Source organism: Homo sapiens, chromosome 20, assembly GCF_000001405.40.
Source record: "Homo sapiens chromosome 20, GRCh38.p14 Primary Assembly".
Taxonomy (NCBI): domain Eukaryota; kingdom Metazoa; phylum Chordata; class Mammalia; order Primates; family Hominidae; genus Homo; species Homo sapiens.
The window spans coordinates 2,312,770-2,335,005 of record NC_000020.11 but is presented as its reverse complement, the minus strand read 5'-3'; the positions used below and the strand labels follow the sequence as shown (position 1 = coordinate 2,335,005).

Sequence of the window (22,236 nt, the reverse complement as noted above, 5' to 3'; positions counted from 1 at the left end):
GCCCCGGGCTTGACTGAGCCCTCCTTGGGCCAGGTCCTGTGGGAAGCGTCCCCCGGTCAGGGTGGGCTCCAGAGCAGGGGGCAAAGAGGCCCCAGGACTCTCTCTGGCTGGGCAGATTCCCAGGAGGATGGGCTCACAGGGGCTAAAGATACCGCTGCTTCCTCCCGACTCCGAAAAATGTTGGAGGGCAAGTGTCCTTTTTTTTTAAAATTTTTTAAATTATTTGTAGAGATGGGGTCTCTCTATGTTGTCCAGGCTGGTCTCAAACTCCTGGACTCAAGGGATCCTCCCGCCTTGGCCTCCCAAAGTGTTGGGATTACAGGCGTGAGCACTGCTCCCAGCCACAAGTGTCCTTCTGAGGGGCAGTGGAAGAATACAAATGCCACCTGATTGCCAACAACAGTAGCAATCATGACAGTAACACAATAATAGGTAGGAAGGGAAGCCAGGGTATTGGCTAAACAAACGCTTAGGATCCTCCCCGTCATCTAATAGCCTGGGGTTCTACTGCCACAGCATCCCCTTCATTCCTCTGGTCTGGTCTCTAGTTCTTCTAAATCATCCACACACCAGCCAGACAAAGCTTTGGAAAGCTGTTTTTCGTTTTGTTCTGTTTTGTTTTCTAAATCACTCTTCTTCTGTGTCACATGTGACTTCAAAAATCTTCCGTGGCTCCTCATTGCCTTAGATAAAGTTCAGACCCCTCAACCTGGCCCTGCATCACCTGTCCCTTAAAAGAACCTTCCACACTTCTTGTTCTGCAGACAAAACAGGCACCTTTTCGCCCCCATATTTTGACTCACATGGTTCCCCCAGATGGAAATGCCTCCCCTGGCTTCTCTCCATGCATCCGGCTCCTTCCCCACGCTTTAAGTCCTCTCTTCTGACCCTGTGGGCCGCGGGGCCCTTTCCCTACCCTGATGGGCTTAGGTGCTCCCTTCCCTCAGGCTGTCATGCTGGGTGGCCTGGGGATGCCCCAGCACCCACAGTATTACATACTCTTGTAGGTAAGACTGTGAGGAGGAAGCTGCCTCTGCTTTTAGCACTGAAGGAATTTGCCATCCCTGCCCCAAATGTGGAGAGGACAGGCCCTTGCATCAGCTGGTCCAACCCTCACCGTCAGTGACCTCCGAGGTTCAGAAAGGGAGGGAGACTTAACCAGGGTCATCTAGCAACTACTTGGCAGACGACCAGACTCTAAGACCACTACACCTGCCTTCTCTCTCTTTTCCATTCCATTCTGCAAAACGGTTTTTTTTTAACTATTTCCATCCTGTGAATTTTTTTTGATTTCCAAAATTAGCTCTTTTGGCCAGGCATGGTGGCTTATGCCTGTAATCCCAGCACTTTGGGAAGCCAAGGCGGGAAAATTGCTTGAGGCCAGGAGTTTGAGACTAGCCTGGGCAACATAGTGAGACCCTATCTCTACAAAAAACTTTAAAAGTTAGCTGGGCATAATGGCATGCCTGTAGTCCTAGTTACTTGGGACTACAGCTACTTGGGGGGCTGAGGCAGGAGGATTGCTTGAGCCCAGAGTTTGAGGCTGCAGTGAGCTATGATCACTTCAGCCTGGCAGACAGAGCAAGATCCTGTCTAAAAACAAAACAAATAAACAAAAACAAACAAACAAACAAAAAAAGCCCTTTCTTTGAGTTTCTAAGGTCAATAACAGCCAGGCAGTTGCTTCATATATTGAAAAGATTTCTGCTAAAATTCTGCCAGAAGACAGATTGCTAGGGGATGCTTCTTTCTGACAGGTGTGACACCTCTCAGTTTCTCTGGAGACAGAATTCTTTCAAGATGGGCAGTATAATTAATCAGTTTCTATTAGTTCCTTATGTGAAGCAAATAACCACCCTGCCCTGTTAATCCGGCTTGTAAGTCCAAACTTTTCATGACAGCTTGAAGGATTTTACCAATGTGGGCACACCTGCATTCTAATCCTTCCACAGCACAACCTTTATCTGCTCCACCTTGTTCCCTTCCCATCCCTGCTACCCAAGGGCAAGGAGTCACTGTTCCTCCCAAACGCTCAGACTTCTAAGAAAACCTGTCACTGTTGTCAGGATTCCAGAAGGTCCACCCACCCCGTGGCAGCTGTGGGAGGGCCATGGGCCAAGGTTTAGGGTCCCGTGGTCATTGCCACCCTCCTGAGGTCAAATTTGAAAAGCGATTTGTTGTGGGAGTGGGGGTGAGGTGGGTAAGAACAATACAACATAGAAAACAGGGGGTGGCTCTGGACTCAGTATCAGGAAACCTAGGACCAAGACTCAGCACTACCACTACTATCTATGATACTTTATCTCCGAAGCAAGTCACAAATCTCTCCCAGCCTCACTTTCTGCTTCTATAAGATGGACACTGAAAATCTGCCTTTTTTTAGACGGTCAAACTGTGTGAGGTGGTATATACTTGTAAGGGATATTGTGCCATAGCTATGAACTGCCAAAGCCTCCCTCCTTCCTCCCTTGGGGCGTAAAAGGATTTTGGTTGGCACCACCCTGACATTTGGTTGGCATCACTCTGTTCATAGAGACAGAAACTTCCAAAGCATTAATACATGGCTTAACCACAGGGGCCGCTGGCTGCTCCATTCGTAGCTGACTAACCTGGAGCCCAGCAGACACCCTGCAGCCCCAGAAGGCCATTGGCTACCTCGGATTCGTGGATCTCCTCCAACTGCGGGATGCGTTACCTTCCTCAGGGTCCAGGGACATTGTGGCAGAGTCCTTCCACACTTCATGTACAAGCGTGCCGTTGTAGATGATGGTCCAGGCTGTCATGTTCACTGTCACTGTCTTCGTATCCCTGCTCAGGTTTTTGAGCAGTAGGACCAGGTTGACTTCTTTGCCTACTGCCAGCATGCCAGCGACCTTCAGCTTCCCGATGATGCTGGGCTCCTGTTCCTCTGTTTCCAAACCCATTGAAGACGTCGCGGCAAATGGCGTGTTGGGTTTAAGTTTCCCCAAAGCCTTTTGGAACACTTGTCTTTCCTGGTCAGAGCCTGTGTGGTGGGAAAAGACAGAAACATGCCAGGGATGTGATGGCAACCTGGGCAAAGGACAGTACCCTGCCTGGACAGGCGGCCTAGGACTGGTGCTGGCTCCATTGCTGCCCTAGCAGGCATTCGACTTTCACAGGTCTCCAGCTCGCCTGTCTTAACCGGAGACTCACAGACCAGTTGGTCTCTGGCGCTTTTCTAATCAGCTCTAAATTTCCCAAAATCTGTAGAAAAGCTTTATCACACCTGCACACAATTACTATGTGGCTTGATCATTTGCTTGCGTTAATTAGGTTAGATTCCATTTTTTTCTGATAAAATGTCTTTTGTGAGACTTAAAAAACAGATAATTTCAAAATAAATCATAAGAACTGAGCTGAAAAAGATTAGAATACATTCATAAGCCAAAAAGCAAGGTGATGATTTAGAACTGACTTAATTAAAAAATTTTTTTTGGTAAACCATGTTCTTCTGCCTTGTTTCTAAAGGTGCTTTGAGAGTCAAGGAGTGACATTTTGATCTGTGCCGGTTGACAAGGACTTCCCATGGTCGGTGTGGTTCCAAGTTATGACTAGTTGAAATTGTCCAGAGATTTCAGTTTTCAAAACTGCAAAGACTGGATAAAAAGATGGGTTTTCTGACTCTGACTCAGGCTATGGGTGCTGCTGAGTGTGATGGCGTAAGTAGCCCACAGAGAATGACAGGGATGTACCTGAAAATGGCTCTGAGGGCACACAGAGCTGAGTAACCGACTGCAAGCCTCTGAGCCAGGGCTGACTGAGCAGTTCACAAAAGGCTTGACCTGAAGATAGATCTAGGAGAAGGTGTTGACCTTCCAGGAACACAGGTACACAAGGAAGAGTGACCATGTTGACGTCTGCAGACCACACTTACATTCTCCCACCTTCCCCAACAACCTGTGAAATGCTTAAGGCACTGGATGACTTTCTTTTCTTTTTTTATTTTTTTTCTCTCTCTTTTTTTTTTTTTTTTTTTTTTGTGACAGGGTCTCACTCTGTCACCCAAGCTGGAGTGCAGTGGCATGATCTCAACTCACTGCAACATCCACCTCCTGGGTTCAAGAGGTTCTCCTGCTTCAGCCTCCCGAGTAGCTGGGATTACAGGTGCCCGCCACCAAGCCCAGCTAATTTTTGCCTTTTTGGTAGAGACAGGGTTTCACCATGTTGGCCAGGCTGGTCTCAAACTCCTGACCTCAGGTGATCTGCTCACCTTGGCCTCTCAAAGTGCTGGGATTACAGGCATGAGCCACTTCACCTGGCCCAGATGACTTATTGTAAGCATTTTACGATACAGCAAGCCCCTTCCCATAAATTACATGTGATTTGCAGAGACTTCAGAGGCCAACTCGTCCATGCCTATCAAGTTAAGGCCCTAAGAAGAGACACAACTTGTCCAGACCACTCTGAGATGGACTGGGCCAGTCATCTGCAGAGGCAGAGAGGGGGCCAGTTCCCTGGTGTCTGGACCCCTGGTCTAAGTTTCCTCCCACACACCCTGCTAAAAAGAAGGCAGGCAGCCAGATTACCTAAGCTGGTAGTTCCTGGTGGGCTGGGTTCCTTTTGATGCCTTCCCATCCTCTAGTCCAGCTGTAAGTTCAACCCAGAGCTGAAGGCAGTGCACGGATCTGAGCCTTCTGTGCCTGGGACCTTGAAGCAGGTGTGTTTGCACAATGAGGCTTGGAGCCTTGATGCCTATATAGGTCACCTGCTGGGTTTACTCAAGACTAAGCTTCCTCCTGCTGTTTTCTCCCTTTGCTGTTGCTATTGCATCAATACTTAGCAACATATTTTATGAGCTTTTCCTCTCTGGGGCCCTCAGAGAGAAGCTAGAGTCATTAGGTAAGAAGATCTGGGCAACATCAGGCAGGGTGATCTGTCCTGTCGCATAAGGGCTGGGGCATTGCTGGGAGTCCTTCAGGGACCCCCTCCCCCACCCCCACAACGGACCTGCCCATTCTCCATTGTTTAGGAAGTTTGGCTGAGACAGCCAGAGATCAAGGTGTGGGGTAAGGTAAGGAACCCCACAGGATCGTACAGTCATGTAAGCAGCGCCTGCAAAATAGTCACCTTGGGAAGTCATTGTTCCAGTGAGGCTATAGAGGTTCAAATTGATAAAGATCACCACTGCTATTTATCAAGTCTTGACTATATGCCAGGCATTGCACTTGGCACTTTGTATACCTTAGCTCATTTAAATCCCGCTGAAGACAGGCATTGCTCTTCTCATTCTTCGGGTGAGGAAGCGAGGGCTCAGAGATCAGAGGAAACTTGCTCGAGGTCACACAATTATGGCTGGTAGGGCTAGAGTTCACCTTCCGCCCCCGAGTTTTTGCTCCCTGACCCCCTATGCTTGTTTCTACGTCATAACATTGTTGAAAATACTTGTCCTACATCCCCACACCTCCAGCCCATCTGCAGTGTCCTCTGTTGCATCCCCAAGGCCCAGCATGAAGCAGGCACTCAGTATGGGGCTCAGAATATGTTTATTGACTGAGCAAAGGTCTATCTGAGCTCAGTCCTGGGAATGACCTGCAGAGGAAGACTGGGGCCAAATTGAGGCCACCAATCTCATAACCCTAAAACTGTGCCTCCAAATGTTCACAAATACCAGCACCTGGGGGGGCACCCACTTGGACTTGAAGTCAGACCCCATCACCTGCGCTCAGCTTTCCTTTTTTGTAAACTCGGCCAACACCATTAGCCAACCGTCACTTAGAGATTCAGGGCTTACTTTGTGGGTACTGTGTGCACCTTTATGAGGATGCTTTTCTTGACCCCTCAGAACCAACTGTGAAGATCAATGGAATGAGCAATTTCAAAGCATTTTAGAAAGTGTGAAATGTTGACCCCATTTAGGAGTGACTGTGGCCTGCAAGAGCAAGCACTAAATTACTTTTGGCTGTTTCTAAAAATGAACTTTGTCTTCAAATGCAGAACTTTTATCATCATTGAGAATGCTCCAAGAGATGCGCTGCTGGTTTCAAAAGAAACTCTGGGCAGTGAATATAATTGAGTCGAGGCAGCCTCGCAGCAACTGGCTTTCCAAGGTGACTTCAGGGGGACGAGCAATGTAGCATGCCTGAGATTTCAGGAGCTCAGGCATTCACACCATGTAATCACACCTCATCTGGCTTCTTGGGAGACCTCCAAATGTGCACAGTGCAAGCTCAGGTCTCTGGGTTTCTTTGTCCCTTTCTTCGTTCAGATGGTTTTCTCCCTGAGTTTCTCAGAGGCTAAGGGAGCAGACTGATGGAGAAATCTCTCCCAAAGCCCTTGGGGGCCTTTCATGGGGGCCATGTCTCTCCCTGTGATGTTCAGTCACGGTGCTGTCACCCTAGCTGTGTAGTTGAGACAGGGACACAGCTGGAGATGGGCTGGGTTGACAGCCACCTGTGCCCTGCAGCAAACTTCCACTGGCACAACAGCTGCCCGTGATGGTTTTGTTCCCTCCGGAAACAGTCCTGGGAGGTGGATGTTAGGTGCTAGGGAGCAATCCTATCATTCAGGCAGAACTGGCTGCCAGTGCGGGGGAGGTGAGGACTTTTCTCCTCTCCAGCCTCAGAGCCATCCTCCCACAATAGAACCTCTCGCGGCACTGCCCCGCCAGCGTCCCTCCTACCTTCTGGGTACTTGTACTTGTCCGTGACGTCCATGCGAGCATTGCTGCCCACCGCCTTGGTGCTGATGTACCTGCCAATGGTGTGACTGTTCACGGAATTCTTCCACTGTTTGCCAGTGGTGTTGTCGTACAGCCAGGTGATGCGGTCGGCATTAACCTCCGCGAAGATAAAGGGCATGTCGAAGTTCAGCTGCACATCACCCTCTCGAACACCAATGACCGAAGCGGGGCCGCACTGGAACACCCCTGGAGGCCAAGATGCAGAGGCTGGATATATGCCAAGGCCACAACCTACCCAGTGCCCGATTCCCCAGGGCCTTCCAGGACCACTGCAACCCCCTGCCTCTGCCCCGCCCAAATTCCTTCACCCCTGACTGTGTGTCCCACTCATTTGGCATTCTGCAGAGACCCTCCCGGGCTATGATTCTCTTGCTGGTCGAACTCAACCTCTACATAAGACTACACAATTCCGCATTCCGGGCGCCTAATCCATGCTGACCCACTGTCCTTGGTCTGTTTCCTAAAGAGGAAAGTCTTGCTTTCTCGTGCTCAGGGTGGCTGCCTCTTTTCTACCTCTGCAAGTCATTCTGGCCTAGAAGCTCATCACCTTCCTAGTCCAGGAAGACTTCCCTGAACAGGCAGCCTGCAGGGACCTCTTGTTCCTCTGAGCTCCCAAGCCTGACCATTTCTTCCCTCTTCTTAGCACTCAGCATAGGAAGCTTAGATAGATAGATAGATAGATGTCAGTGACTTTCAGCTTTTTTCACCACAACCCCTAGAAAGAAATACATTTGACATCTTGGCACACATATGATACAGAAACAAAAGTTTCACAGGACAATGGTCTTTAGTCTAACTATATCTTTTTTGTTTGTTTGTTTGTTTTTTTGAGATGCAGTCGTGCTCTGTCGCCCAGTCTGGAGTGCAGTGGTGCAATCTCGACTCATTGCAAGCTCCGCCTCCCGGGTTCACGCCATTCTCCTGCCTCAGCCTCTCTCAGTAGCTGGGACTACAGGCGCCCGCCACCACGCCCGGCTAATTTTTTTTTTTTGTAATTTTAGTAGAGACGGGGTTTCACCATGTTAGCCAGGATGGTCTCGATCTCCTGACCTCGTGATCCACCCACCTCGGCCTCCCAAAGTGCTGGGATTACAGGCGTGAGCCACTGCGCCCAGCCTAGTCTAACTATATCTAATGAGCCTTGATAGTTTATGTTCTTTTCCCTGCTTTCCGTTCCATTCCATTTCATTTTCTTTTCCTAAAATGATGGACACAGCCCACTAACTAGATTTTATAACCACTAATGGGTTGCAATGAAACTTTTGGAAAATTGTGGCCTAGCAAATGTCTCAGTTACCTCCAAGCCCCCAAATCTAGTAACGTGCACTGATTCTGGTAGAGGAGCTAGGGGTTGGGGGTGTGGTAAGACTTAAGTTTTATTGTTAGTCCTTTTAGAATAGTTTGAATTTTTTTCAACTACATGCACATATTACTTCATATATCACATTTTTTTTTTTTAGACGGAGTCTTGCTCTGTCTCCCAGGCCGGAGTGCCACGGCATGATCTCGGCTCACGGCTTTACCTCCGTTTCCTGAGTTCCAGCGATTCTCCCACCTCAGCCTCCCAAGTAGCTGGGATTAAGGCATGTACTATCATGCCCGACTAATTTTGTATTTTTACTAGAGACGGGGTTTCACCATGTTGGTCAGGCTGGTCTTGAACTCCTGATCTCAACAGATCCACCCTCCTTGGCCTCCCAAAGTGCTGAGATTACAGGTGTGAGCCACCACTCCCAGCCCCATAAATCACTTTTTAATGTTTCAAAGAACAACTGAAAATGAGGGTAACAGACAAGTCATGCTCTAGAGGTCAGAGAAGGGAAGAGGAAAGGCTCCAGGAGAGCCTGGGACCCAACCCCTGATGGGGCAGGAGACAGAGGGAGGCCAGAGGAGGAAGCAGAGGCCCGGGATAGGGATGGCAGAGGCAGCCTGCCTAAGGGGGAGCTTGGTGTGGCAGAGAGAGCTGCTGTGGGTGGTGACCAGTGGAGAATGTGGACTAAACCCCAAGGGCAACAGGGAACCATGAATTTTCTGTGCTGGGAAGGAGAGGCTGCTGCAGTTGGTGAAGGAAAATCATTACTGGCAGAGGAAGGCTGCTCTCTCTGCCCACCTGGCCTGTGCCAAGGCTCTGTGCAGCAACAGTGGCCATTGTGGGTGCAGGGCAGGCACTCATTTAAACAGCAGCCCGAGCCAAGCAAAATTAGCAGGGGAGATCTATTTTTAAACTATTTTTGTTTTAATCCCATCATGCATTCCAGAGGGAGAGGGCTTTGGAGTTACTTCCCTATGCTGCTGTCCATGGCTGTAAATAACTGTGAGGCTCACGACTCAGAACCACACCCAGAGAAGTTACCTTGGCTTCTTTCCTGCGGGGTAGCATCCAACACCTGCCATCCACCGTACGAGGGGCCCAGGTCAGACCTCACAAACCAGCCTTCATTCCAGACATGGAAATTCCTGCAGATAGAACCAGAGACTGCAGCGCTTGCCCAAGACCACACAGCAGATGAGTGGCAAGACAGCACATCTTTGCCCCAACAGTGCAGCATGACAACATGCATCGAGTGAGTTTGCCCTGTGACGGCGGTTATGCTAAGCCCTGGTGAGCATCGTCTCGTGGAAATCCTCACAGCACTGTGCAATAGGTACCATTTTTATGCCCGTTTTATAAAAAGGGAAACTTGGGCTCAGAGAAGTTAAGCATCTAACAATGGCAGGGTCAAAATGTGGACCCATGTATGCCTAACTCAAAAGTCAAAGCCTTGACCAGCATGCACCTTTCTAAGGAGCAGAACGAATCCAGATTGGAGCCAGCCACCCAGGGGCAAACCCACACAGCTTTCTCCCTCTGCCTGGCGGGGTATGCTTCTGTGCTTGGTGTTGGCCGAAAATGAATGGGGTTGCTGCAGGAGTGGCTGACTTATCTAAGAGCCACACCGTCTCTTGGCTGGGATCTGAACTGAAGAATGACACCTGCCAGTCCTCAAATGTTCTTTGTCTTATGTCTCAATTAGTAAGCCTCAGTCACCACTCACCCCTCACCGGGCACAGCCAGGTAGCCAAGGTCTTACTCATTCTGTCCCCCAATTCTGCCCTCTTCTCTCCTCTCCACTCCCATGGAAACTACAGTCACACTGGTCTTGGCACTTTTCAGTTCAACATGAAGAAAATATAAGTTCGACATAAATCCAAGTTCTAGTCAACGTGGAAAAAAATATTTCTATACTCATGAGGTGGAAAAGATAGTTCTAAGCAGACCACCCATTTCAGAAAGCATAAAGGAAGAGACTCATATATTTGAGTATGTAAAAATATTGAAGTTACATGTAAACAAACAAACCTGTAGTTCTGTTTCTGGTGTGGAGGATAAGCTCAAAACAGATGAATCCTTTTGCATATAATGATAAACTGTGGGGAAAAAAATGAAAAACTAGGAAAGACACCTGAGCATGATCAAAGCACTATGATTTTAGAGAGGAATCAGAACGTAGAGGAAGCTGCACTTTTTATGAGTTTGCTCTAAGGAAAGGCCACAGTTGGGGTAAAGTACATGGAGCAAGAACTCGACAGGCAGCCCACAGCTTTCTGATCTGAGGAACCAGGAGCAGAGCCTGAACCAACCTGGGTTGCTGGAGAGTGAGGGGGGAATTCTGAAAAGAGTCAAGGAAGCTGCCCAAACCTCTAGGTGACCCTCAATCATGCATGGATGAGGCAGACCATGAGCTGTTCAGCTGGAGATAAAAGCCCTGAACTGAGAGCAGAGCCACTGCCTACTGCAAGGGAGACAGTTTGCATGTTGAGTGACCCAAGATAGGCAGCCAAAACAAGAGAACAGAATTCAGACACATCCAGCGTCTGGGGTATGAGCCAAAATCACTCAACAAACAAAGAACCAGGAAAATGTGGTTTATCCTCAAGGGAAAAGATAATCCACAGAAACCCACCATAAAATAATCCAGATGTTGGAATTGTCAGACAAAGACTAAAGCAGCTACTAGAGCGAGGCTCAACGAAATAAAGGAAAATATGCTCATAACTAATGAAAAGAGATAAACTTTGGGCAGAGAAATAGAAAATATGAAAAAAAGAACCAAATGGAAAAATTTTAACTGGAAAAAGCACAAATATCTGAAATTAAATGATAAATAAACTTAATAGCAGGATAGAGATGACAGAGGAAAGAGTCAATAAATTTGAAGATAGATGACTAGAAATTATCCAATTTGAAGGCAAAGTGAGACAAATGATTGAAAAAAATCAATAAAGCAGAGAAAATATATCCAACATACATGCTAGATAGAGATTTACTGTATCAATATTGTAATGTACTTACAAATTGATAAGAGAAAGCATACTTTCCTTGAACTAAGTGATGAAAAAATAAGAAATAGAAAAAGAAAAACATGCCCATAAATAGCAACGAGCAGGCAATTTTTATAAGAAATACAAATAACCACCAAACATATGAAAATAGTTTTAACCTCAGTACTATGAAAAGAAAATTAAAATGACAAAGAGATAACATGACAGAGATACATAGATGACACCTATTAGACTGACAGAGATTAAAGCATACGGTGATACTCGTTGTGGTGCTCATTTCCAGGTGGGAAAACAAGCACTGTCATACCCCACTGGTGGGAGTTTAAATTGCTATGACCTTGTGGAAAGCAATTTGGCAATGAATATAAAAACTTGTAAAAATCTACATACTCACTGAGCCAGTAAGTCCACATCAGGGAATTTCTCCCATGGAAAAACTCACGTAAGTGCACATACATGTATATCTAAAGGTGTCCACCAAGGCATTGTTTGTAACAGCAAAAATGTTGGAGCAAAAGTTCATCAATAAGGGAATTGGCAGATAAATGGTGGCAGAGCCATGGAATGGGATATCAAACAGCTGTCAAAAAGGACAAGCAAAATCAATCTAGTACTTACATGGAGAGATGTCTAAGAGATATCATGAAATAAGAAAATCAGTATGACCAAACATTGTGTGTTCACACTCATAAGTCAAGGCTAAGCTATGAGAATGCAAAGGCATAAGAATGACGCAATGGACTTTGGGGACTCAGAGAGAAAAGGTGGGAAGGGGGTGAGGGATAAAAGACTACAAATTGGGTTCAGGGTATACTGCTCAGGAGATGGGTGCAACAAAATCTCACAAATTGCCACTAAAGAACTTATGTAACCGAATACCACCTGTTCCCCAAAAACCTATGGAAATAAAAAAGGAAAAAGAAAAAAACCTATGTGTATATATGTAGATGTATGATAAAGCTGTTCATTAAAAAATTATACATAAAACATTGGAGAAAGTCTACAATAATTCTATTTTCTTAGATATCCACCATTAACAGTTTGGTGTATGTGTTATATATATAGTGCATACAAACTAAGTTTTATGTTACTTATTTCTATAATGTTTTTATTTTCTATCATGTCAATTACTCATTACTTCTATAATTAGAAAATATATGTAAGTTGGATGATCATAGCTAACACAGTGTTAACACAGAAAGTTGAGTCCTGTGTTATTGCATATATTAACTTATTTAATCCTTACAACACCCTAAAAGACAGAAATGATTATTATTCCCCATTCAACAACTCTGGAAACTGAGGTTCAGGGAAGTTAAGTGACTTGAGAAGGTCTTACAGTGAGTAATTAAGCAGAGTGGGATTTGAATCCAGGCAGCTGGGGTTAAAAAAGGGAAACAGGTTAACAGTAGATTCCATTTTATGTAACCTGACTTTACATAGGTTCCATTCCATATAAGAGAATATGATGCACTTACGACGTATTTGAAATGATCTTATTTTTGAAGATTTTTTAATGACATAGGGAGAATGCTCATGATATAATGTTTAGTAAAAAACACATGACTAAAACTAATGGTGAAGTGATTGGTTTCGAGGTGTGGGAAAAAGTGGGATGTGTCTATTATATGCTCCGTCTTCTACTCATGCCTTGGAAAATGTATCATCCCAATTCTGTAAATAACAATAACTCAGAGAGAAAAGATGAATGGAAAACTACCAAGTGTTGAAGATATGTGAATAAGATCAGAAATGATTTTTATTTCTGTATGTATTTTGAATTTTTTTATAATTATTTTTAAAAGGGCATCATAAAAATGATCTCCAGGATCCAGGGAGTCTTTTTGAACAGGCCTTCATGATCGGTTAGAACTCACCAAGGAGAAGGCAAGGGAAGGAGTGTGGGAAGATGGTCCCAGGTGGGTGAGAGGAGCAAGGGAGGGATGAGAAAGTGAATAAGGACACCAAGTTTCACACTCAATTTGCTCCTGGCAGAGCACCCAAGGGGAAGGGCAGGCTGGTTAAAAAAAAAAAATTGATAAGTAGCTGTATTTTAATACTTGCTTGCAAGGCAGGAATTTAAGGCAGAGCAGATAACAACTGCATCCTGGTTCCTCCCTCATGCAAAAGCCAGCCACTTCAGTTACACAGAAATATTTGGGATGTGCATCTTTCCAATGCCCAGTGGCGCCATGTGGAAATTCCGGTGTGGGTTTCTGGTTGTGTGCCACGCTGTCTCCCACCCCCCAACCTCGGGCTCCACTCCTTTCCTGAGGGTTTCAGGAGCATAAGCTCAGGAGAGGACAGGCTGCGGGCATCAGAACTATCCAAGGCATTTATTAAAAAGTGCAGATTTCCGCTGCTCTCATCTTTCCCCACACAAATTAATTCTCATGCAGTCTTTGACGTTTATAAAACACTGCTCTACAGACACCAACTGAGCTATGCTTACCTTTGAAATCACAGAGTTAGGAGACCTTGCCTAGAAAGTGGCCCCAAACCCTGCCCTTCTGTAGGTAAACTCCCATTTGTCCTCCCAAAGTTTGTTCAGATACTACCTCTGCCAAAAAAGCCTTTCCTGACACGCCAAGAGAGTGCCAATAATACCTCTGTGCTGTCTCTGACTCTTGCAAATAATTCATTGATTTCATTGCTACTCCATAATTGCCAAGCTTTTAATGCAGCTGTAAACTCGTCTATTCAGTCTCTAAGGCCTAGTTATAAAACAAAACAAACAAACAAAAACCCTCCTCCAGCACAGTTCCTGCATCTTGTTCCTCTTGGTGCCCGGAGTCCAGTGCAGATGTGCATGGAATCATGTTTGCTGAATTGAGTTGTTTCTGGGCTGAAACCACTCTCTGTCACTTCCTCACTAAGGGCCTAGGAGCCAGTTCAGGATTAGTGGAAGCAGGTATTCAGAGGCAGAGGCCGTGGAGAGATTGCATGAGGAGCCAGGGGCTTGGCTGAGGTGTGGGTGCTGACAGCTGGAGGCACTGCCTGACTTCACCTCCCTGGCAGGGCTGGGCAGTCTCTAGGCACCTTCTACCTCAGAGTTCTGCAAAGTCTACAGGTAGAGTCAGATCTATGACTCTAGAAATTGGGGGATCAAGCCAAATGAATGAAGAAAACAAGCCAGAAAAGTCAAGATAACTTTGGCTAAACTGTTCCAAATCATTCGGCTGCTGCTCGGTGGCTGAATAGGCTCCAGAGACTTCCTTTGCAGTGGACCCGAAGGAGGACATCTCAAAGAAGCATCCCAAACTAAGCTCCCCCGAAAAGTGTCCTCACTCTGAAGAGAGTGAATACTCCGGAACTGCGTGACTCTTAAGCCAAACCATTGGCACGAGCAGAGTGGCTTAGAAAAAAATTTACCCCACTGGCTGCTGTGAATCTGATTAAAAGAAAGGCCTAGAAAATGTCACTGAGGTCCCCTGATCTGGCCCTTTGTTTTACAAGTGGGAAATTGAGGTGTAGCAAAGGCAAGGAACTTACATAATGTTATGCGCTTAGAATGTCTACATGTCTCCCGGTGTTTACCCTTAGACAAGTTACTTCTCTCGGGGCCTTTGTTTTCTCATCCATGAAAAATAAATTGGGGATGAAAATAACAATGCCTACGTCATTTGTGAAGATGAAATCTAAGCACTTATAACAGTACCTGGCACACAACAACTGCTCAACAAATTATTAGTTGCTGCTGTTACTATTACTAAGCACTTCTAATGCTTAATCTCCCTTGATTCTCACATTCTATTACTTTAGGCAAATCTGGGCACGGTTCTAAAGCTTTCAACACTTTTTGGTAACATACAAAGATTCATGTCAGAGGTTTTCTGTCCAAACTCCGGTTGCCCTTATAAGAATAGCTTAGTAATTTCACGCCAGGCAGAAACTGGCTCTTGGTTTAGCTCTCCCCTGCATGGGATTCAAGGAGGAAGGAACAGCAGGGCTCCCTTGGGAGGGCTAGCTCCCTTATAGAAAGTGGAGTGGGCTGAAGCTCCCGAGAATTTAAACATTTAAGCTGGCAAAGGACTTAAGAAATCATCTAGTCCTAGGCCAACCCTTATATTTCACATATGAAGAAACTTGGGACCAGGAGGATAAATTGCCTTGCGCAAGCCTCACAGCAATTGGGTGGTAGGGCTGGAGCTAGTGCTTGGGACTCCCTGTCCTCATGCCCTCCAGGGCTGGCTCCCCCAACCATCAGCTGTAGGGAATGGTGTAGGGAGTAACTATCAGCTCCCTTGGCTTTCTGAGAAGGTTCAGAAAAGGGGAGAGGAAGGGAGGGGTGACAAGATCCTCAGGAACAGTCAGAGCTTCTGCGCCTGGCCCCCTCCCATGAGGCCACAGAAATGACCACAGAGCCACCCTGGAATGTCTCCATCAGCTCCTACTTGTCCCAAAGGTGATGTTAAGCTGATGTGGGGGGCAGTGTGAATCACTAACCAGGAGACCTGGGTTCTAATTCTAAATTTAGCTTAAAAGCCTCACTTTCCTGTTTCCAGGACGCCTTCCTTGAGGATTTCCTCCGAGTTCCTGGTATCCCTGTCTCAGTCACTTGCCTGGGCATCACACACCATGCTGTGTTGCTAATTAGCCTCTACTAGTGGCCTCCCCACCCCGTGCCTCCTAACAGCACCATAAAAATGCTTTCAGTGGAGGAACTGAGACTTAAGCTTTCCACGTCCCTGCAGTTCCTAATGTACAGGATAATCACAGAAAGGGTATGCCGAGGGGACCCCCAACTTGTCTCACCAACCATCTCCTTTTGTAGAAGAAACTAAAGTTAGGAATGGCATAGCCCCAGTGATCAGAGCTGGTTGCGATGGGATTTTGGACACAAGAACAAAGAAAAGCCCAGGGAAAAGAAGACACTCATTCATGAGAAGTTGGAAAACAAAGTCTGGCCACAAGTAAGCAATATCATTAGAGAGAAAGTTGTGTATGTGCAGATCAAGAAAGAAACTCCTTAAATAAGCTTTCTCTCCCCTAGTAAAACCCCAGAATCCATTGACTCTGGGGTGAGTTACATAAACCTCACTCTCCTTCAGAAGGGAAGGGATGCTTTTATTACTCAACTCGGTTGCTGGCATGGAGTTGTTATTTATTTGTTTTAACAGTGTTTTCCATTATTATCTATTTTCGTTTCATTTTATACCCTTAGTTACATTAAGCACATTTCAGATAAGTTAGATATACTTATTCTGGGAATGATAAGTAATACAAACATTTTATGTAGACTATCTCAAAATTGAACATCTGAAAATAAGATTACATCTGTCATACGATTATCTAGCCACATACATGCATGTGAGCAATTATGTGTGTGTGTAGCCTTTGAAATGGATTAAAACAATAGATAGATGGGTACTTTATATAGATACATAGATATCTCTGTGTATCTACAGATATAGACATCATTGCCAATTGCCATCCGGTAATAACTTGGTATATGATATAACCTTAAACAGTTGTAACAATGTCTATTTTTATCTATATAATATCTATCTATCTAGTGCTCTATGCAGTTACAGATATATGTCTACACATTTCCTACTTCCAGTGGCATCTATCATTAAATTACGTGTGTGTGTGTATTGATAGTGTGCACATGGCATACTTATGGTTAGGAATATAAATGCCCAAATATATATAAAACATTTTGGCCGGGTGCAGTGGCTTACGCCTGTAATCCCAGCACTTTGGGAAGCTGAGGCAGGTGGATGGCCTGAGGTCAGGAGTTCAAGACCAGCCTGACCAACATGGTGAAAGCCTGTCTCTACTAAAATACAAAAATTAGCCGGGCATGGTGGTGCATGCCTGTAATCTCAGCTACTTGGGAGGCTGAGGCAGGAGAATCACTTGAACCTGGGAGCCTGAGGTTGCAGTGAGCCAAGATTGTACCATTGCACTCCAGCCTGGGCAACAAGAATGAAACTCCATCTCAAAAAAATAATTGTTTTCATCCGGAATCCAGAATAAACTCTGAACTTTTGATGTCAACCAAGGTATACAATAGGTGTATATATATATATATATGATATATATATATATATATATGCTAAGAGAAGATGTGTTGCTTTTCTTATTCTCTTTAAGAAAGTTTGTAAGTCATATGGATTACTTGAAATGAAACAAATGTATATTTCTTGCTGGAAAAGCAATAGTTTCAACTTGTATATTCTATAGTAGTATAAGGTCCAATGGATCCCATAAATTCAGAGTGAATTTAGGAGCCCTGTCTTTCACTGGGATCAGATCCTTTGTCTGACGGCAGCAAGATAGACCAGACTAGCAGACCGCAGAGCACCGAGAAGAGGTGTCTTGGGTGCTGCTAAGTGTGTAATCAGCATTGCCAGCAGTTCCATTCTACACCCTGTGATGACATGTTACTTGCCTTGCAACACCTGTTTGGACCTGGGTCCCAGAAGGATGGTGAGAGCGAGAAGCCACTCAAATGTGGTGCTCGAAGTTCAGGGAAAAGGTGAGATACTTACCATACGCTATCACTACCCTTGTCCAGGGGGTTTCCCATGGGGTCGTAGTACACATCCACACTGAGATTTCGGTCTGTGTCATGAGCTGAGTTGAAGTTGGTGATCACCCGGGAAGGAATCCCCAAAGACCGCAGCGCTGCAAGTCAGGGTGGGCGTGAGGACTCAGGTGGTGGAGATGGTACCTTGGCATAGCCCACTGCCACCCACTGACCCAGCCAAGGCACACCACACCCAAGGTACCTGTGTTGAGGGTCCCAGCAAAGACCCAGCACTGGCCATATCGGACTGGGCTGAAGCCAGATTTTTTCCAATTTTTGAGGATCTCCACGCTGCCGTTCCAGCTCCTTGGGTCCCGGCCACCGGTGTAAGTGCCGCTCCAATTCCCAGCAAGCACACCATTGTCATCATTGCTATTGATCTGGGCAGAAACCACCCCCCCAAAATGAGTCAGCACTAATGCCTTTCCTAGGGAGACTGACATGCAGAATTCAGAGGACAAGGTGGGGAGATGAGGAAGGAAGCCAAAGGCCATGATTGAACTTTTCTTTGTCTTTCTAGGTGACTTGGGGATGATCATTGTAACACTTAACCCTTAGGGGTATGGAGTGGTTTACGAGTTTAGAGGTGCTTTCCCAAACAGGCCATGTTTGATTGTCCTTGATCCATACGTCATTCCTGTGCAGCAGCCTGACATGGGAAACAGACAGCACAGCTTGTGCTGTGGCAAGGCAGGGCACAACTCCAGCTTGCAGAGGACTTCTGGCAGGTAAGAATCCACAGGCTATCACTGCTGTCACAGTCTGCCTGGGAGTCCATGGTTTGAAACTCTTTTTTGGTGTATGGTCTTACGAAAAGATCACTTTATTTATTTTATTTATTTTTATTTTATTTATTTATTATTATTTATTATTATTATTATTTTCTGATACAGAGTCTCTCTCTGTCGCCCTGGCTGGAGTGCAGTGGCGTGATCTTGGCTCACTGCAAGCTTCGCCTCCTGGATTCAAGCAATTCTCCTGGCTCAGCCTCCTGAGTAACTGGTGTTAATGCGTGCCACCATGCCCGGCTAGCTTTTGTATTTTTAATAGAGACGGGGTTTCACCATGTTGCTTAGGCTGACCTCAAGTGATCTGCCCACATCAGCTCCCAAAGTGCTGGGATTACAGGTGTGAGCCACCACACCCGGCCAAAAAGATCACTTTAGAACTTTAGCAACTAACTTCTTCTTGGAAAGAATAAAGATAGAGTATTTCTTTTCTTTCATTCATTCAGCTATTTGTTCATTTGTTAGTTTACTCATTCATTTATTCAATTTAAGGTTCTAATCTAAGTGACACAACCAAGAGGCAGCCTGGAAAGATCACTGGACTAGAAATCGAGACCTGAGTTCCATTGTCTTTTAGGGACACACTTGGAAATATTTACAGGTGAAATTATGACAAATGTGTAATGTCTAAGATTTATCAAATCATCTGTGAAAGAGAGGGTCGCAGATGAAATGACACCAGCCTTGAAGAGGTAATTGCTGAAGCTTGTGATGCAGACACAGGAGTTCATTATGCTTTTCTCTCTACTTTTATGTAGGTCTGAACTTTTCCATAATAAAAGTTAAAAGAGAGAAGGAGACACTGAGGTTACAAGCCCCACCTTGCCACTTGCCAACTTGATGATTGCACAAAGGTCTGTTCACCTCTCTAGGCCTTAGTTCTTCACCTTCCAATAGGGAAGGGAATTTTCAAGGGAAAGTTAGGACAAAGGTGCTCTGAGGTGTCTTTTGTAGTCAAGGGTCAGGGTTTATGAAACTTTGGCTGTCGTTTATCTGAACTGTGCAATGAGAGGCTGGACCAGGATCTCTGAAGGCTCCTCCAGCCTGTGTGTCCTACCCCTTCTCCTTGGAGTGCCTGTAAGTGGCAAGGCCTATGAGAATGGACAGTCTGGACACAGAGGGATCCTTGCCCAGGACAGGCCATGCCCAGCCTTGCCAGGCCCTCAGTGCAGTAGTGAGTTCTGCACCCCTTCCAGGAGGTCCTGGGCTGTCATGGCAGAGTCAGGCAAGACAGGGCCTCCTTAGAGATGGAAGGTTGCGCAGCCCTTCCCCATCTCCTGAGTCACTGGTGCTCCAGCCTCCAAAGTGGCTATCAGCACGGTCATCTCTGGCTGAAAGCTGAGCACTTCAAAGCTCCGCACAGGCCATAATTAGTTCATGGCCCAGCCCAGCTGGGAGGTCTGAATAGAGCATCTGGGAGGTGCAGCTGAGGAAATTGGCTCCACGATAAAGTGGTTTGGCCCTGGGGTGCGAGTGAGTCAGCAGCTGCAGGAGCCGCTGGCCTCACCCACTCTCTCCTAGGCCAAAGAGACTCAGCCTTCTAAGTCACCAGGGCTTTAATCCCACCTCTTCCAGGCCATTTGGTTTCAAGATTCTGTTCCAGGCTCACTTCCTCTCCATACTCTCCCTCGGCTACTAAGTTCCCTGGGCCCACCTTACTCCTTTCTTGCCAGGCTCAGTCTAAGACTCAGCTCTTTCCAAAAGCCCTCTCAGATGCACCCCGGATATTTATCATGCAGCTGAGAAGTTGTTCACATTTTTAACCAAGTAACTAGCTCATTAGCATGGACATATCCAACTCAAAAGTCAAGAGATCAAGAAATGCCTAAACCATGAAACATAGAAATAAATAAATAAAGGTTACAGGATTTCTGGGTAATTACTTAGTTTAAGAGGATTAAAGTAAAGAATTCACTTTGACTTTTCGCCTTTTTTTTTGGAGATAGGCTTTTGCTGTGTCACCCAGGCTGAAGTGCAGTGGCGCAATCACAGATCACTGCAGCCTGCAACTAACGGACTCATGCAATTCCCCCAGCTCAGCCTCCCAAGTAGCTGGGACTACAGGCATGTGTCACGATGCCTGGCTCCTGTGTGTGTGTGTGTGTGTGTGTGTGTGTGTGTGTGTGTGTATGTGTAGATGAGGTCTCACTATGTTGTCCAGGCTGGTCTCACACTCCTGGGCTCAAGTGATTCTCTGCCTTAGCCTCCCAAAGTCCTGGGATTACAGGTGTGAACCACTGTGCCTGATCACGACTTTTTGCATCTTAACTTACAACTTTTGAGCAGGTTGATCTAGGTTTAGATATTCTGGATGAATATTTTTGGAAACAGGGTCTTGCTCTATAACCCAGGCCTGAGTGCAGTGGTGCCATCATAGCTGACTGTAACCTCAAGCTCCTGGGTTCAAGTAATCCCCCTGCCTCAGCCTCCTGAGTAGCTGGGAATACAGGTATGTACCACCATGCTTGGCTAATTTTTGTTTGTTTGTTTGAGATAGGGTCTTACTCTGTCACCCAGGCTGGAGCGCAGTGGCATGATCTTGGCTCACCACAATCTCCACCTCCTTGGCTCAAGTGATCCTTCCACCTCAGTCTCCCAAGTAGCTGGGACTACTGTCACATGCTACCATGCCCTGCTAATTTTTTTTTGTTGTTGTTGTAGAGACAGGGTTTTGCCATGTTGTCCAGGCTAGTCTTGAACTCCTGGGCTCAAGTCATCTCCCCACCAAAGTGCTGGGATTACAGGTGTGAGCCACCGTGTCTGCCTATGCCTGGCTAGTTTTTTTTTAATTTCTGTAGAGACGAGGTCTCACTACGTTACCCAGGCTGGTGGCAAACTCCTGGGCTCAAGCCATCTTCCCACCTCCATCTCCCAAAGCACTGGGATGAGAGGCGTGAGCCACCACGCCCAGACTGGTTGGAGATATTCTCTACACAATGAGTGCAGAGCCATAGATGCCTTCTAGGGGATCTAGCTCGTGTGTGTGTGTGTCTGAGAGAGAGAGAGAGTGTGTGTGATTGTGTGAGTGTGTGTGTGTTTGTGTGTGTTGTAGGGGCACAGGCCTTTTCCATGGAGGCCTTGTTCTGGTCTGACTTGCATGCCGTGTGCCTTGAGCAAGCCACTTCAGCTCTCCAAGCTTGTTTCCCCATCTAGACCATGAATGAGGCAGCCTACCATCTGACACTCTGGGCTGTGCTCTGGGCTGTGGAAGAGATGAGTTAGGCAAAGGAGGTCACCACCTCCAGCTCAATCAGGGTCTCGCTTCCTTTCCCAGGAGGCCCAATGATGGAGCAGAGCCCTAGCTTTGCATTCTCCCATCCTTGGCAGGCACTCAAAGAGCAAGCTCCCTTTTCCTCTGAGAAAGGCTTCATGATGTGGTGGAAAGGGCTTTGAAGCTGGCTGGACCTGGGTCTGGCTCTGCTTCTGCCACATACTCACTGTGTGCCTCAGGCAAGCCCTGTAACTTAGAGGGGCCTTGTGCTCCAAGTTAGTAAAATGTGGATGGTTCTAACCACCAGCTGTAATTGGTGAGGCTTTAATGAGATGACATATGTAAAGAGTGTGCGTGCCTAGCTCATAGGTGGTGTTCAATATATGATGACAACTAGCTGTGATCGTTTTCCTGTTACTCACCATGGCACTCAGCACCCGGCCAACGTATTTGGGGTCATTTCTGCTGGCCACATCAGTAGCAGCGTCACGGCGGAAATTCAGACTCCTATCCAAGATTGAGAGGCAGATGCTGAGAATGTCTTCTTCAAACTGTTCAGAACGAGACCATACATTACAATTAAAGAAATGACAAGGAGAGTTGGCTCAAGAAGGGAACTGCACTGGCAAGAACCACAGGAACTATCAGATCCTTTGACTCTGTGGCCTCTGGAACTGAG

At 46.3% G+C, this 22,236-nt stretch overlaps 1 protein-coding gene across 1 annotated transcript in view, besides 1 other annotated feature; it reads right to left on the bottom strand.

The window, feature by feature from the left end:
* Nucleotides 1-22,236, bottom strand: part of TGM3 (transglutaminase 3) — a 45,079-nt gene that overhangs the window by 6,074 nt on the left and 16,769 nt on the right. Inside the window, exons 5-10 of the mRNA NM_003245.4 lie at nucleotides 21,980-22,108; nucleotides 17,761-17,938; nucleotides 17,521-17,656; nucleotides 9,054-9,157; nucleotides 6,641-6,886; nucleotides 2,696-3,004 (exon numbers count right to left, since the gene is read on the bottom strand). Of these exons, the coding sequence (NP_003236.3) occupies nucleotides 2,696-3,004; nucleotides 6,641-6,886; nucleotides 9,054-9,157; nucleotides 17,521-17,656; nucleotides 17,761-17,938; nucleotides 21,980-22,108 (1,102 nt within the window). The remainder of the gene's footprint in view (nucleotides 1-2,695; nucleotides 3,005-6,640; nucleotides 6,887-9,053; nucleotides 9,158-17,520; nucleotides 17,657-17,760; nucleotides 17,939-21,979; nucleotides 22,109-22,236) is intronic.
* Nucleotides 4,457-5,039: an enhancer, noted in NCBI's record as "OCT4-NANOG hESC enhancer chr20:2310613-2311195 (GRCh37/hg19 assembly coordinates)". NCBI's record gives its function as "activates a minimal SCP1, AML or CMV promoter by ChIP-STARR-seq in naive H9 embryonic stem cells {active_cell/tissue: H9 hESC(naive)}" and the evidence as "EXISTENCE:reporter gene assay evidence [ECO:0000049][PMID:30033119]".